This window comes from Homo sapiens, chromosome 8 (genome assembly GCF_000001405.40).
Source record: "Homo sapiens chromosome 8, GRCh38.p14 Primary Assembly".
In the NCBI taxonomy this organism is placed as follows: domain Eukaryota; kingdom Metazoa; phylum Chordata; class Mammalia; order Primates; family Hominidae; genus Homo; species Homo sapiens.
Window position 1 is genome coordinate 37,469,161 of NC_000008.11, and position 14,728 is coordinate 37,483,888.

General features: G+C 44.8%; 1 long non-coding RNA gene across 8 annotated transcripts in view; it reads right to left on the reverse strand.

The window, feature by feature from the left end:
- The window catches only part of LINC01605 (long intergenic non-protein coding RNA 1605), a 196,324-nt gene that overhangs the window by 65,645 nt on the left and 115,951 nt on the right, over window positions 1-14,728 (reverse strand). For 4 of the 8 annotated variants that reach the window (NR_170192.1, NR_170190.1, NR_170191.1 and 1 more), the window contains exons 2-3: window positions 6,682-6,852; window positions 3,918-4,050 (exon numbers count right to left, since the gene is read on the reverse strand). This is a non-coding gene — a long non-coding RNA (long intergenic non-protein coding RNA 1605). The remainder of the gene's footprint in view (window positions 1-3,917; window positions 4,051-6,681; window positions 6,853-14,728) is intronic. The other 4 variants (NR_170189.1, NR_170193.1, NR_170186.1 and 1 more) reach the window with 1 other exon arrangement.

Sequence of the window (14,728 nt, forward strand, 5' to 3'; positions counted from 1 at the left end):
GTGAGAAAGAATGGGATGATCTAGTGATCCAAAGTGGAGGAACTGGCCACAGAGAGGGTAAAAAAGATCACTTCTATCTTAACAGAGGGGAAGGAGTTTATCCAACTACGTATCCACTCCTCTAATCTGAGTGCAGATTAACAACTTCTTTTTTTAACTTTTATTTTAGGTTTAGGAGTACACATGCGGATTGATTATATAGGTAAATTTCATGTCACAGCAGTTTGGTGTACAATTATTTCATCAACTAGGTAATAAGAATAGTACCCAATAGGGCTTTTTCAAACCATACCCTCCTTCCGCCTTCCACCCTACAGCAGCCCCCAGTGTCTATCATTCTCTTATTTGTGTCCATGTGTGTACTCAACGTTTAGCCCCCACTTATAAGTGAGAACATGCAGGATTTGGTTTTCCGCTCTTGCGTTAGTTCTCTTAGGATAATGGTCTCCAGCCGCATCCATGTTGCTGCAAAGGACATGATCTCATTCTTTTTTATGGCTGCATAGTATTCCATAGTGTATATATACCGCATTTTCTTTATCCAGTCTACCATGGACGGGCATTTAGGCTCATTCTATGTCTTTGCTATTATGAATAGTGCTGCAATAAACATACACATGCATGTGTCTTTATGGTAGAACTATTTATATTCCTTTGAGTATATATCCAGTAATGGGATTGCTGAGTTGAATGGTAATTCTGTTTTAAGTTATTTGAGAAATTGCCATACTGCTTTTCACAATGGCTGAAGTAATTTACATTCCTAACAGCAGTGTATAAGCAAAAACCTTTTTTTTAATCTTCACTTTAGACAAGCTAGTTACCAAATCAGTCAAGTGGGACTAATAAGAGTTTTTGAACAAACATTTATAATAGTAAACTCTCTCTTATAGAATTTTGAAAACACCCTAATCAGTGGATGCTGGATGCTGAAACTGTCCACATTTTATTATCTATATTAATGTGTATATGCAAAATGCTTGCCATTCCCAATTCGACATTTAGATTAAGAGCCTCTTGAAGGCAAGAATTTGATAGTTTTTATCTGACTCCCGAGTACTTCATAGGTGCTCAATAAATATTTCAGGATTCAGTTAAAAACTAGAGACTTTACAAAGCTTTTTTATTTTTATTTTTATTTTTTTTAGATGTAGTTTCACTCTTGTCACCCAGGCTGGAGTGCCAAGGCACAATCTCAGCTCACTGCAACCTCTACCTCCCAGGTTCAAGTGATTCTCCTGCCTCAGCCTCCCAAGTAGCTGAGATTACAGGCATGTGCCACCATGACCAGCTAATTTTTATATTTTTAGTAGAGACAGGGTTTCGCCATGTTGGCCAGGCTGGTCTCAAACTCCTGACCACAGGTGATCCACCCGCCTCAGCCTCCCAAAGTGCTGGGATTACAGGCGTGAGCCACCGAGCCCAGCCAATTATTTTTCTTTGCCAAAGAATTCATCACTGGGTACCTTCAAATAGTCAGCAACCCTGGTGCATTTAAAATTTAATATAAACTTACATTCAAATTTGGGATATCAACTTGACATTTTGAATTGTTAGCATTTGAATTCTATGAATTATTACCATAGAATCCAGCCACTCTGATGTTTTAGGGGCATATCTATTAAGTAAAATCAAGAACCCAGAGCCTTTGTAGTCAGTGATAAGAGGTATAGGATTGAAAAAGATAGCAGTCAAAGAAATATTTCTGAAATTTCCAAAGCTAGGGATGGAGGGAAGATGCAAAGAACCCCAACCTGACCAGCCAGTTGGATAAGCCTTATCCCTGTGCCTCGAGTCATTTTAATAGATTCTTTTAATTTCTTATCATTCTATTGTGGGTTGACAAAGTCCAGGGCCCACCTATTTGTCTTGCCCCTGGAGTGAGTTTCTTTTTGAGGCCAAGAAGTGATTATGGGAAGGAAATATGCAGCTATGCATGCTCTGGTGCCAGTTTTTACTTAAGCTCTAAAAATCACCCTGCCATGCCTTTGGTTTCTGAATTATTAGTCTATTCACACTTTTTGCCCCCTGTCAGGAGATGGAACTAAGACACACTGACAGTTCCTGGAGAGCCGTGTTTCTCTCTTCTGGGTCACTGCAAGTCAACCTCAAGAACACAGCTCGGACGATGTGGTTGATGGGAACCCCAGTCTTCTGTCTTTATTTGCCTTCGGGAACAGAATAGGCAAGTGGCTGGGAGCATTAAAACATCACTTCTAGAGAATCACCATCCAGTCCAGTCCCATCATTTTGTAAACAAGGACACTGTGCCCCAAGATGGGGAAGCAATTTGCCCAAGGTCATGCAGCCACGTCAGCAGCAGGCTGAGGCTGGGATCTGAACTCCTGACTCCTGGGCCAAGGTTTCCCCTGGAGATCTCCAAATTAACACATTAACCCCTTTTCAAGTATTTGGTTCCAGCCATTTCTACCTTTCCTACATGTCTCTAAGAGGAGAAGAATGTACACATTCCTATCCACAGGCTCTATGTTTTTCTAAGACAAGTATTCAGTTGGGGCAGAATCTGTCCCTGAGTGACATGTACTTTCCATTTTTCCATCTTACTGTTTTCTACAAAGCCCCCAGGAGGTCACGGAGACTGGAGAACTCGCCTTAGTGCTCTGCCTTCCTTATTAGCGTCTTCACAGCACCCCTACTCCCTCTCCAAAACATTATTCCCAAATATCTAACCTGCCTGGCTCCTTTCCCATTTTGCAATGTCATCCTCTCAAAGCAAGGCATCTAGGACTGTGAGGTCTTCACAGTCCAAAGGCACATGTTGGCCAGGGAGTCAAGAGAGTCCTTGAAAGTAGCCTCTGAACTTGGAAGCAGAAGTCACACCTTTAGGGCCCCTTTGTGTCTTTCAGGCCCTTTCAAACGTGCATACACAGATAAATATGCACACACATACATAAACAAGCATGCATGTATGCAAACTCACACTTGAAAATGTGTATATACACAAAAGCATGCACACATGTATGCAACACACACGCACACACACACACACACACACACACACACACGGGACAGCTAAAAAGCCAAAACCAAACAAAACAAAACAAAAAAAGGCCCATGCAGGAGAGGAGAAAATGTCCCCTTTCTATCTGCAGGCTGCCTCCAGCAAAAGCATTCCTAAATACGATAGGTTAAATATATTGCTGCCATTACACTCTACAAGAAACACATTCCATAAAAACGAAGGTGCTGTAAATTATACAAATATGATGCTAACAAGCCAGGAAACGCGCTGCTAATGAGGTCAGCTACAGAACTCCCGCAGCGCTGCAAATCATATGCCAATCCTGCATATGAGGTACAAGAACGGCATTGGGTCAGCATTTTCTGAGTGTGTTTGTAACCTGCTGTTTGGTGTATGGTTACACAGGTAGATAAAAAGCCTCCACTTCTCCCCCCAGTGGCACCCCCACAACTTTGTTTATGTGTCAAATATCCAAGTCACCAGACGAGCACACTCTGCATTAATGTACCTGACTATTATGCCTATTGTTCTTCTGCTCAGAGTAGAGAATTAGTCACTCAGATGTGTAAATATTGGTTACAGTTTTGAAGCGTGCAAGCTTTGTGTTCCTATCAGCCCCATTCCTGGAGGAATTATGCATGCTGTTGGCACTGGGTTTTGTACACACTGTATTTGCTAAAGCTCTAAAAATCAAATAAACATGTTCTCGGCTCCTGAATTATTAGTCCATTCACCATCTTTCCCCGTTAGCGGGGGAAACAATAAACACACCAAAATATGGCATTTAGGAACTGCAACAAGATTTCTGCTTGGCATTTACAAGTTGGAGAACAATCGAAACACCCTTCCTCTGCCTTTGTCATGCAGCCTTCAGCACAGAGAGCCGAGACAGCTTTGAAGTCCCTCCTGACCTCTTAGCAAATGAGATCTTTACCTAGGGTCAATGTGCAGGCTCCATTTCCAGACAGGTGTCAGACAAGGGGTTCAGTGCTGCTCCCAGGGATGAGCCAGGGAGGGACTCAAGAATCTAGGCATTACCAGCTGGGCCATATAGCAAGACTCCATCTCTACAAAAAGAATTTAAAAACAGTATTAGCCAGGAGTGGTGGTACACACCTACAGTCCCCGCTATTCAAGAGGCTAAGGCAGGATTGTTTGAGCCAAGGAGTTCAAGGCTGCAGTGAATTATGATCATGCCACTGCAATCCAGCCTGGGTGACAGAGCAAGACTCTGTCTCTTAAAAAAAAAAAAGGGAAAAATAAAAGAATCTAGGCATCAAAGAAACCCACTCCACCCAAATTCAGAGGGTAGAGCCACATCTACCAAGAGCAGCCTGACTCCCCCCTCTTAGAGTTCTCTAACTCTGTACTCCCTGCCCAAGGTTGGGATTAGCAAAGTCACATGATACAGTTTAAAAGGCATTGTTCAAAATGGTTAGATTCACCCCATAAACCAAAGAACCCCCAGACTGGCAACTATTTGGAAGAAAAGAGGGCTGCCAGTTTCATAGGCCAATCCCATTGTTTCTTGGCACATTTTTTTCCAATACTAAGATCCAGGGCAGTTAAGGTTTAAAGCCATTGAGGGTGAGTGAATAGAAAAATTGCGAAGTTTATAGTGAGATGCTCAAAAGGATACAAGCGAACATTTAGCAGATAAATACGATCACAAAAATATCTCCTACCTCCCCCAACGCTAAGCAAGGTATTTATGGTAGAGCTTAAGTTTAGAGCCAACATCAGGGGTGGGGGGTATTTTTCTGAACCGCCTGGCCTAGCCCTAGTCTCAGACACCTGTTTATACTCCATCTCAAAGGTTTTATTGAGTCTGTGTTCTCCCCAGTCTAGGGGCCCTGCCGTGGATCTATTTGTATACACACATCACAGGTTTTGGAAAAAACTTCAGCACATAAATGCCATTATTTCCAACACAGTTGGTGTAAACCATATTTACTACCCAAACACTCAGCTAAAAATTGAGCTGCAAGGAAACAGTTGCAGCCACAGCAACAACAACAACAAAAAAGAAATCAGTGACAGCTACAAACCACAACCACAAATCAAACACATTTGTACAGTGGCCTTGAGGTGGGAAGCACAAAACAAAGGCGTAGCAAGATGGCAGGCAGCGGCGGCGGCGCTCCACACACTGGAAGGAAAATTCGATTAGTAATTCCCTACTCTAAATTAAATACAGACTGCCTGTGGGGAGCACACAGGGATGTAAAAAGGAGTGGGATAGGTGCAGAGGGAGGGGGACACAGTAAGAGAATCACTAGTTTTTTCTCACTACCATAAAATCTCAACAGTCTATGTGGTTACTACAAGGAAATCTCAGGGTCTATACAGAAAGTGCTGGGACTGTCACTGACATTCAACAGCCACCTAATATCCAGCGTCGTCCAAACAAGACGGGACATCCAACAGGCAGCATCTCTGCAAGTCAAGGCTAGACCCGTGCCCTGGAAGTGGGAATTGTCTTGCTTGTTACTCCAGTGAAGAAAGAGAAGGCCACAACATCAAAGCCACACCCACACCCCAAGTGGGAATTTTCATTCATTCCTTTTTTTTTTTTTTGACAAGCATTCACTAAGCACCTGTTTTGTAAACAGTAAAAATGATGTGTTTGGCACTGTAAAGGACAGAAATATAGGTAAGACCTCATAGTCTAATAGAGAAATAAGAAACATTCATAAGCTCAGCACAGTGACTCACACCTGTAGCCCCAGCACTTTGGAAGGCCAAGATGGGAGGATGGTTTGAGCCCAAGAGTTCAAGACCAGCCTGGGCAACATAGCAAGACCCATCTCTACAAAAGTACAAAATAATCAGCTGGGTGTAGTGGCATGCACCTGTAGTCCTGGCTACTTGGGAGTCTGAGGTGGGAGGATCACTTGAGCCCAGGAGGTCGAGGCTACAGTGAGCAGGGATCACGCCACTGCACTCCAGCCTGATCAACAGAGTGAGACCCCATCTCAAAAAATAAATTAATTAAATTAAATTAAAATAAAGGAAAATTATTTTAAGCAAAAAAGAAAATGACGGTTAAGTAGAAAAAAATGATAATAGCTTTTTTTAAACTGTCAAAAAAGCAGTATATGATTGACAACCCAGGAAGAGAATGATGTGAGCTGTAACTCCTGACTGAGTCCCAGGTAAAGAGAGAGTACTATAGGCTGGGGGCAATCCAGGAAGGTTTCAGGAGGAAGTGGACCTTGAAAGTAGACTGAACTGAGCTGGACAGAACAGAGTCAGGAGGAGCAGACTCAATGCAGGAAAATTACAGGTGTGAACAGCCAGGAGATGGGAACAAAAGTAGGCTGTCTGGGAAGTCTAAAGCGACCGTTTTGAAGGATGTGCAGATTTGTAAAGGGGAAGGGAGGCAGATAAAGTTGGAAAGGTTGTTTGTTTCTGCTGAACATTAACCAAGCTAATAACGTTGGAGATTTGATCATAGTTGAAAATTACCTGTAATAAACACTAGGCAGGCTTCAGTAGAAGATAACCCTTATTCCTGTATTCCTCATGTGTTTCCACAGAGGGAGAGGGAGTCACTGCAGAAGCAGGCACAGGACTGTGTGCAGGAGGATGGAGGCGTCTGTCTCCAGCCTGTGTGAGTCCGTCGTGAACACTTGAGCACTGGGGTCTTTCACGCCACCTCCCTTCTGGAAAGCACTAAGCCAGCGTAGTATACTTACCAACTGCCTCTGTCTCCTGTCAGGCAAAATGCATGTTCAGGGGAAGGCAGGTGAGGGCCAGTGGAAGAGGGAGACAGAGAGATATTGTTCTTCCAGGCCAGGCAGAAGGTACTTGAACTCGGTAGGAAGGTCGGCTGTTTGTAACGGGAATGAGTTGAAAATCGCCATCACCTAGAACAGACAAAGTGTGAAATATGCATTTTTCTCTTTTGTTTTATACCATTTTTATGAGACCTCTGTGTAGATGCAGCAAGCAAGCCCTTGGCTCGAGCCCTGCAGGGTTGGCAGATTTATTACTGAAGAAGAAAAAAAATGAAAACAGTTCAGCTGTCTGGCCAGGTAGAAGGGATTATCTCCACTTGAAAGAAATAGACAAAAAAAGACTTGCTGGGGTGGTGAGAAGGACCCTCGCCCTGTCCAAAGCTGTGCACCCTCCACTGCAGCTAAAATCTGCCACTAATTCTTCAAATGGTTCTTATTTCCACCTCCAACCTGGCTACGAAAACCAAACTGCCTCTCCTGCAAGTCCCCTCACTGGCTCTCTTTGTACCAAACCCTCTTGGTGCCTGTCCCAGCATGGTGGAGTTGCCAGCCTGATGCGGATGTTGATTCTTCTACCACCACCAAGGGGGTGGGCCCAGACCCGGAAAGTGCTCCCCAGCTGGGGCACCTGGTGGGACCTGGGTCTAGAGCAGCAAAGCACCACAAATTCCAGCTCCTGGAGAGGCCTCCAGTCAGGAACTTGGAGCACCTCCTCTACCTCCTTTGGCCTTTTCCGGGGCCCTACCCTACCCAGGGCTCAGCCCAGAATCAGTTCAGCCTTGAGTCAAATACCCCATCTTATTTTCAGAAATAGTAAGACTGTCAGAGTACCAAAAATGGCTGTTACAATTTACAAAATGCCCTTTCACTCACATTATCACATTCAATCAACTTTTCATTTTAACAAACTTCATTCTTACCATGTGCTAGGTACCATGCTAGGTACCAGGCATAGAAAGGGGTCATGACGACACAGCTCCAGCCCTCAGGACTCTCACAGACCAGTGGGCTGGCGTCTTAGTCCTCAGGCTGCTATAGCAAAATACCTTAGACTGGGTGCCTTATAAATAACAGAAATTTACTGCTCACAGTTTAGAGGCTGGGAAGTCCAAGATCAAGGTGTTGGCAGATTCAGTGTCTACCAAGGTTTTCCACTGCTTCATAGATGGTGCCTTCTTTCTATCTTCATGCAGCAGAAGGGGCAAAAGGGCTCCTTCAAGCCTCTTCCGTAAGGACATTGATCCTAGGCATGAGAGCTCTGCCACCTTCCAAAAAATCCTCACCTCCTAATACTATTGTACCAGGATTAGGTGTCAGCATACAAATTTGGGGATGGGAGGGGGGACATAAACATTCAGACCCTAGCAGCTGGCTTCTCCAAGCCCCCATTCAGGTAGGTGTGATTTTCATGCCTACTGCTTCCTGCTTCCTGTCCTCCCTTCCCCTCTCCAGCCCCTGCTTCCTGTCCTCCCTTCCCCTCTCCAGCCATCCTTGGAAGACACTTTTCCATCAGTTCTCTTCTCCCAGGAGCTCTATTGCTGCTCACCGTTATCAAAGGCCACACTCACCCAGAGGAGAAGAGGTAGATAAGAGAAAAGACACTTCCTACATCCCAGGACCTGAGCCTGGTGCCTTGTCCCTGGCTTCTTACTACTAGCTTTGTCTGGTCATGGAGAACTGGTTGGCTCTCCCCACTTCTGACTATACCTCCCAGTCCCCCAACCCTTGTCTGACCCCTAGAAACTGAGATCTTGAAGTCCCAGCTGGGGTTCCTTTTCTGAGACCATTGCAGACAAGGGAGGCTCAAGCCCTCACCCTCCCTCTTATCCATCAGCCTCACCCCCAGCACTGGCCTCTCCTGCACCACTGTCCTGCCAGACTCCACCTCCTTGCCCCAGACCCCTACCCTCTCTCCAGCCCCCAAAGAAGTGAGGGATGAGTGTTTGCAAAGTGCTGTGAGGAGGAAAGAAGCCAAGTACTTCCCATCCACAAGAAGAAAGCAATTTTAATTGAAAAACGGAATCGCAGATTACATGCAAATCTTTGTTGGCAAATTTCAATTACCGCCAAATTAAATGCATAGCTAAGCTAAGCATCTTCGGGACACTCCATTTAATGTTTTCCCGGGATGTGTCCACAGCAATCAGAGGCAGCATGATAGGTGTCCTTCTAAAGAATGAGCCCCCAGGGAAGAACTCCAGGATGCTCAAGCTCTAGCTGCATGGCGCCCATATTTGGACCTTCTACGAGGTTATCTCAGCTGGGAAGTGGCCCAGGAGGGAAGAAAAGAGAAGAGTTCTTCCTGGCTTTACCCCTCCAGCCTCCTGTCCTTCAAACAAAAGCAGGCACCAGCAAGGGAAAAAAGAGGAAGTATTCTAATAGTAATAATACTGAAAATTACCCTCCAAAAAATTGCCCTGTCTTGGCCTATTGTTTTACAAATGAGAAAACAGAGGCTAGAGCATACCTTGAGCAAGCTCAGGCAGCTCGCCACAGGGCCAGGACAGGAGCACAGGTTATCCATGCCCAGAAAAGGATTTCATTCCTAGATCACCCAGTTAACCCTAAAGAACAGGGCACACACTCTGCTATGGCCTGGGGATGATGATGCTGTTTTCATTCGGCTGTTTTTCATTTCACTCTCATACTCTACTTTGTATTGGCAACTGTATCAGGCACTTTGCCCCCTGCCACATGTCCCTCAATACAGTTCAACACACATACACTGGGTGCTTCTACACACCAGGCACTGTGCTAGGTACTGGGACTAGAAGACCAGAAACCCAACCACTCGTGCATCCCACAAAGCTGTAGGTCATATCCTGCAAGCACTGTGTCTTGCTGTGAGAGTGAACACTACAATCACCACATCTGAGACTTTGGTTTTAAGCTAGGCTCTCCAAGCAGATTGTAAATGCCTTAAGGAAACAACTGTGATCATTGATCTAAGCAACTCTACCCTCTAGGTCCAGCACCCTTTAGAACCTCCCATACCGTGCACTCACAGAAAGTAATACATATTGGAAAGAAATCTGTAAGATCATGGTAGTTGCTGCTCAAAAAACATGGGGATAGACATGTGAAGTATCGCCCTGCATTAAGAGGTGCCCCTTGATGCCTTCCATCCAAACAGTAAGCTACTTATCACTAAGAGATTGTTTGATGCTGGCCAATACTCATGTCTCTAGAACACACCAAGGAGCATTCACTTTGGCAATAGTCATGCCCATCACAGCACCTGTCTTGGCCTAGGGTACCCCTGCTCTGGCCTGGTGACAGACCCCAGGACCTTTTGGACACCTGGGTGTAGACAGTGTGAGAAGGAGGTGATCTGTAGGCCTGGCCCCAGAGTGGGAAGCCACACGGTTCAGGGAGCTGGAGCAGCTGCCCTCTCCAGGGCCCCCATCCTCAGTCTGATGAGATAAGCCAGGAAGAGTCTGACAGGCCAGGCTGCTGGAGAGAAAGAGAGTCCCCCTCAACAGGGCCTGGGGCTACCCAGCTAGGGCCGCCTCTCACTCTGACTCCGCCTCTGCAGAGCATGTGGGTTCTCATGGCCTTATCTGCCAGATGGCTCCCGGAGGGGATGATTTATTAGGTGCAGAAAGCTCGCTGATAAATTTTACTGCAAGTCCCCGGCAGAAGACTGGGGGTAGCAACAGCCCGGCGCAGGCAGCTCTAATGGAAAGTGCCGTCACCAAAGAGCAAAGCATTATTTATGACTGTCTGTAATGCCGTTCGGGGGAAATTCATCATCGCCTCCCTGCTCCTTGCACGCAGGGACAGCAGCACTGGGCGGGTGGCAGGGGGAGCACAGGACAGGTGGGGAACAGTCAGAGCTTCTCTGGGAATCTGCCAGTGGAGAGCAAGGCCATATTTTCCCTGGGTGACCCAACTCCCCTTGTCAAGTATCGACCTGCAATTCCCTTTACCTCCCCTCTTTTCTCCCCTACACTATTCTCAACCCCCGCCCCACTTCCACCACCAAAACACAGAGAAGAGAGAAAAAGAATAATGTTTCGCTGTTCTGCATATGGAGTGCAGATTCTTGCATGTCAGCACGGGTGAGGGCAGTCCTGCCCAGAAGCAGAGATCTAGACCAAATGACCACCCAGTTCCCTTTAAGCTCCGAGCAAGAAAGGGGATGTTCTCCCATTTTGCAGTGGCTAAAGAAGGCAAGACAGTGACCCAGCTATGCTCTCCCGCAGTCAGAGGCAAGGAGCTCACGAGGCTGGAGTCCCAACTGGACCAAGAAGCGTGTTCCCTGCCCCTTCAGCTGGATGGAGACATTTGGAGGGATGCCCTGCCCTAGCCCACCTCACTCTCACCATGTCAACAGGTGAGGTCTTAATCCCTGTACTCCCTTGTAGCACATATAGAGTAGTCATGGATTGCTATCTGCCTTACATTGGAATTATTTATGTCCAAGTCTGTCTTTATTATCAAATTAAGTGCTCCTTGAGGGCAGGGGCTGTATCTTACTACTCATTTTTATATTCATCTCAGCAGTAAGCAAAGCTCCTGCATGCACATGGTAGCCTTGATAAATGCGTGATAATAAAATTACACTGACAGGCTTAGGACATTCTGGGGCTGTGGCCTCATGTGTTCGCAGTCATCTGTCACCATGCTGGTATTCACAGCAATTTAAAGGAGTTCATCCCCCCCGCCTGTCAATCAGCATGGTATAATGGAAAGACCACTGGATTAAGAGTCAGGAGGAATGGGTTCTAGTGTTCAGTAACCCCAGACATTTTTTTAATACATAACATGGGCCAAGTCAGATTTTGCCACTAGCGCATGATTAAACGTGGGCAGCTCAGCTTACTCCTGTATGGGTTGGCGTTCTGCAGAGTAAAGGATGATAAAATCTGCTCATTCTAACTCATAGGACTTCTATGGAAATATGCGTATGATGAGAAGCAGATCTGAGTTCTAGAAAGGGAGGGAACAGCTTGTATCAAATGGTTCTCTATGCCAAGAAATGTGCTAAAGGGCTCTGTGTGTGCCATCTCATTTAAATACCTTCACAATAATTCTGTTGGGGTAGATTTTATTATTATGCTTACAATATAAATTTGAAAATGGGGTGTCAACTGCTTCACTAACTGGCTGGGTATCCTTGAGTTGAGTCATTTTCCCTCTTGGGGCTTCTTTCTCATCTGTGCAATAAAGTTGTTGGACTAGATGCTTGATAAGATCCCTTCAGGTTCAAATCCCTGTGAATCATCTAGTGATACTGTTGCCCAAGCAGCCCAGGCTGTTCTAGCCCATGGGAAGGGTGGGGTGTGATGGGTCACCAGCATTTCCAAAAGCAATGAGCTATGTATGAAGGGGTCTACTTAACTTTTTGCTTGAAGATTTCACCCCAACAAGAAATATCAAAGAATGTAGTACTACAATCCACTACAACTGTCTCCCGAGAAGAAAAGAATGTAACAACCTCAGGCCAGAAAGGAGGCAGGCCAGAGGTCAGGGGACAGTAGGCATCTCAGGAGCCCGGTCTGGGTTGCCCACCCTCTGACCATTCTGACCTGGTGAGGACATTGACAACAGTGCCACTGATGAGGCCCCATCGGTCTCTTTGCCAGCTCCCTGGCTAACGTTTTTTTCAAGAGTCATGACATATTAGATCAAGTAAATAACTTTATGGCCTCTAGTCCAAAAGATTTGCATGGAAACGGAGGCCTTCTAACTCACAGGACTTCTGTAGAAACATGAATATGGTGAGAAGCAGATCTGAGTTCTAGAAAGTGGGGAAACAGCTTGTATCAGATAGTTCTCCAAGAAATATGCTAAAGGGCTCTGTGTGTGCCGTCACACACAGAGATCATTTTGTCTTGGGTAAAATGACTTGCTCAAGATAACAGAGTTACTGAGTGGCAGAGCTACCAAGAAACCAAACCTCCTGACTACTCATCAGAGTTCCTTCCTTCCTTTCTTTCTTTCTTTCTTTCTTTCTTTCTTTCTTTTTCTTTCTTCCTTTCTCTCTTTCTTTCATTCTTTTTTCAGACAAAGTCATGCTCAGTCATCCATGCTGGAGTGCAGTGGCACAATCTCAGCTCCCTGCAACCTCCGCCTTCTCTGTTCCAGCGATTCTCGTGCCTCAGCCTCCCAGGCACACCACCACACCTGGCTAATTTTTGTATTTTTGATAGAGATGGGGGTTTCGCCATGTTGCCGAGGCTGGTCTCGAACTCCTGGCCTCAAGCAATCTGCCAACCTCGGCCTCCCAAAGTGCTGGGATTACAGGCATGAGCCACCGCATCTGGCCTAGCACTCTTTCATACACTGGACGATCATTCAGTCTAGTGGGCACCAGATGGGTCCTTTTCCATGTACGCTTCCCAGAATCCACTCTACAGGAGGAGTGGCCAGGTTGTTCCATGGAAACATGTTCGGTGGAACATGTGTTGCTCATACACATGGGAAGCCACATGTGTAAGAACCACATTGGTTGTTTTGGGGGCTTTTTTAACAACAGGGTAAGGAAGAGCCTTTAACTTTGCCAAAATATAAATTTGAGGACTGAAATTAATCCTAACACAGTTTAACATACTTTATACATAAAAAAGTAGACAAATAATAGGCCTAGTGCTAAACTTGATGAAATTCTATCAAGTCAATGAGAACACCAGAATTTAACAGACCACTACTACTACATCTAGTAAGCGTCCTTCTCAGTTATGTCTTGAAGTTTGCAACTAATTATGGAGCTTGATTTTGGTCCCAGCAATGTCACTAAACAGCGTATTTCTTGGAAACAGAATTTAGAATGTAGTAAATAAGAATAAACATTTTGGAGTCAGACAATTTTAAAGAATCACATCCATATCCTGTGTCTTTCAAGGAAAGTTACTTAAATTTTCTGAACCCAAATTTCCTCTTCTGGAAATAATGATCATTTCTTCATAGGATTATTTTAAAAACTGCTTTAGACAATGTATATCTTGTCCTAGTGAAGTGCCCAGTGCAGAATAGATGTACAATATATGATACTTATTATTATGACTCTAACTTTCCAAAAGTCAAGTAAACTCAAATATTGACCACATAACCAGTTCTATGGTTTGAATGTTTTTGTCCCCTCTCAAACTTACGTTGAAGCTTAGTCCCCAGTCCAGTACTATTGGAAGGTGGGGCCTAATGAGAAGTGCTTAGGTCATAAGGACTCCACCCTCATGAATGGATTCGTGCCACTATAAAAAGGGCTTGCAGGAGTGAGTTCACTTTCTTTTTCCCTTCTGCCATGTGAGGCCACAATGTTCAGCCCCACATGCCCTTCTACTGTCTGCCATATGAGGATGCAGCAAGAGAGGCCTCATCAGACACAAGATGCTGGTGTCATGATCTTGGACTTCCCAGACTCCGGAACTGTGAGAAATAAATCATATTTTTTATAAATTACCCAGCCTCAGGTATTCTGTTATAGCAGCACAAAATGAACAGAGACAACGAGAAATTTCAGGATAATTTATCTTCCTGGTCAACATAAACTACTTTTCTCTCTTCTTTAATTCTTAAAACCAAGCCCAAACAATATGGATGCAAGATAATTCAGACACATCCTAAAGATTGATCTCCATGAAGCATGACTTATGTTAATCCAAATGGCCAATCCCTTTGGAAATTGCAAACTCATTTCCAATATGCAAATGAATGCAGTTTTTCAGTATCTGGAACACCATGGAATGTAAGGTAGCTCAGCCATGGGAAATGAATATGGCATTTTTGGCCAACCATCCAAAGACGTAAACAAGGGCTGAAATATTTCTGTCATTTAAGTCTCTGGTTCCCAAACATAGGTTATTGGCTGGTCTCAGGAATAGTGCAGAAGAATTACTTAAGATGTTTGGTAAATATGGTGTTTCCAAGCTCCAAGACCAGAAATTCTGATTTAGTCTAAAATGGGGCCCAGGAATCTGCATTTTAAACAAGTGAGCAATTCAGATGTACATCCAGGTTGAGAACTGTTGATCTAAGCCAATGATTATTTTTCTGTGTGTAT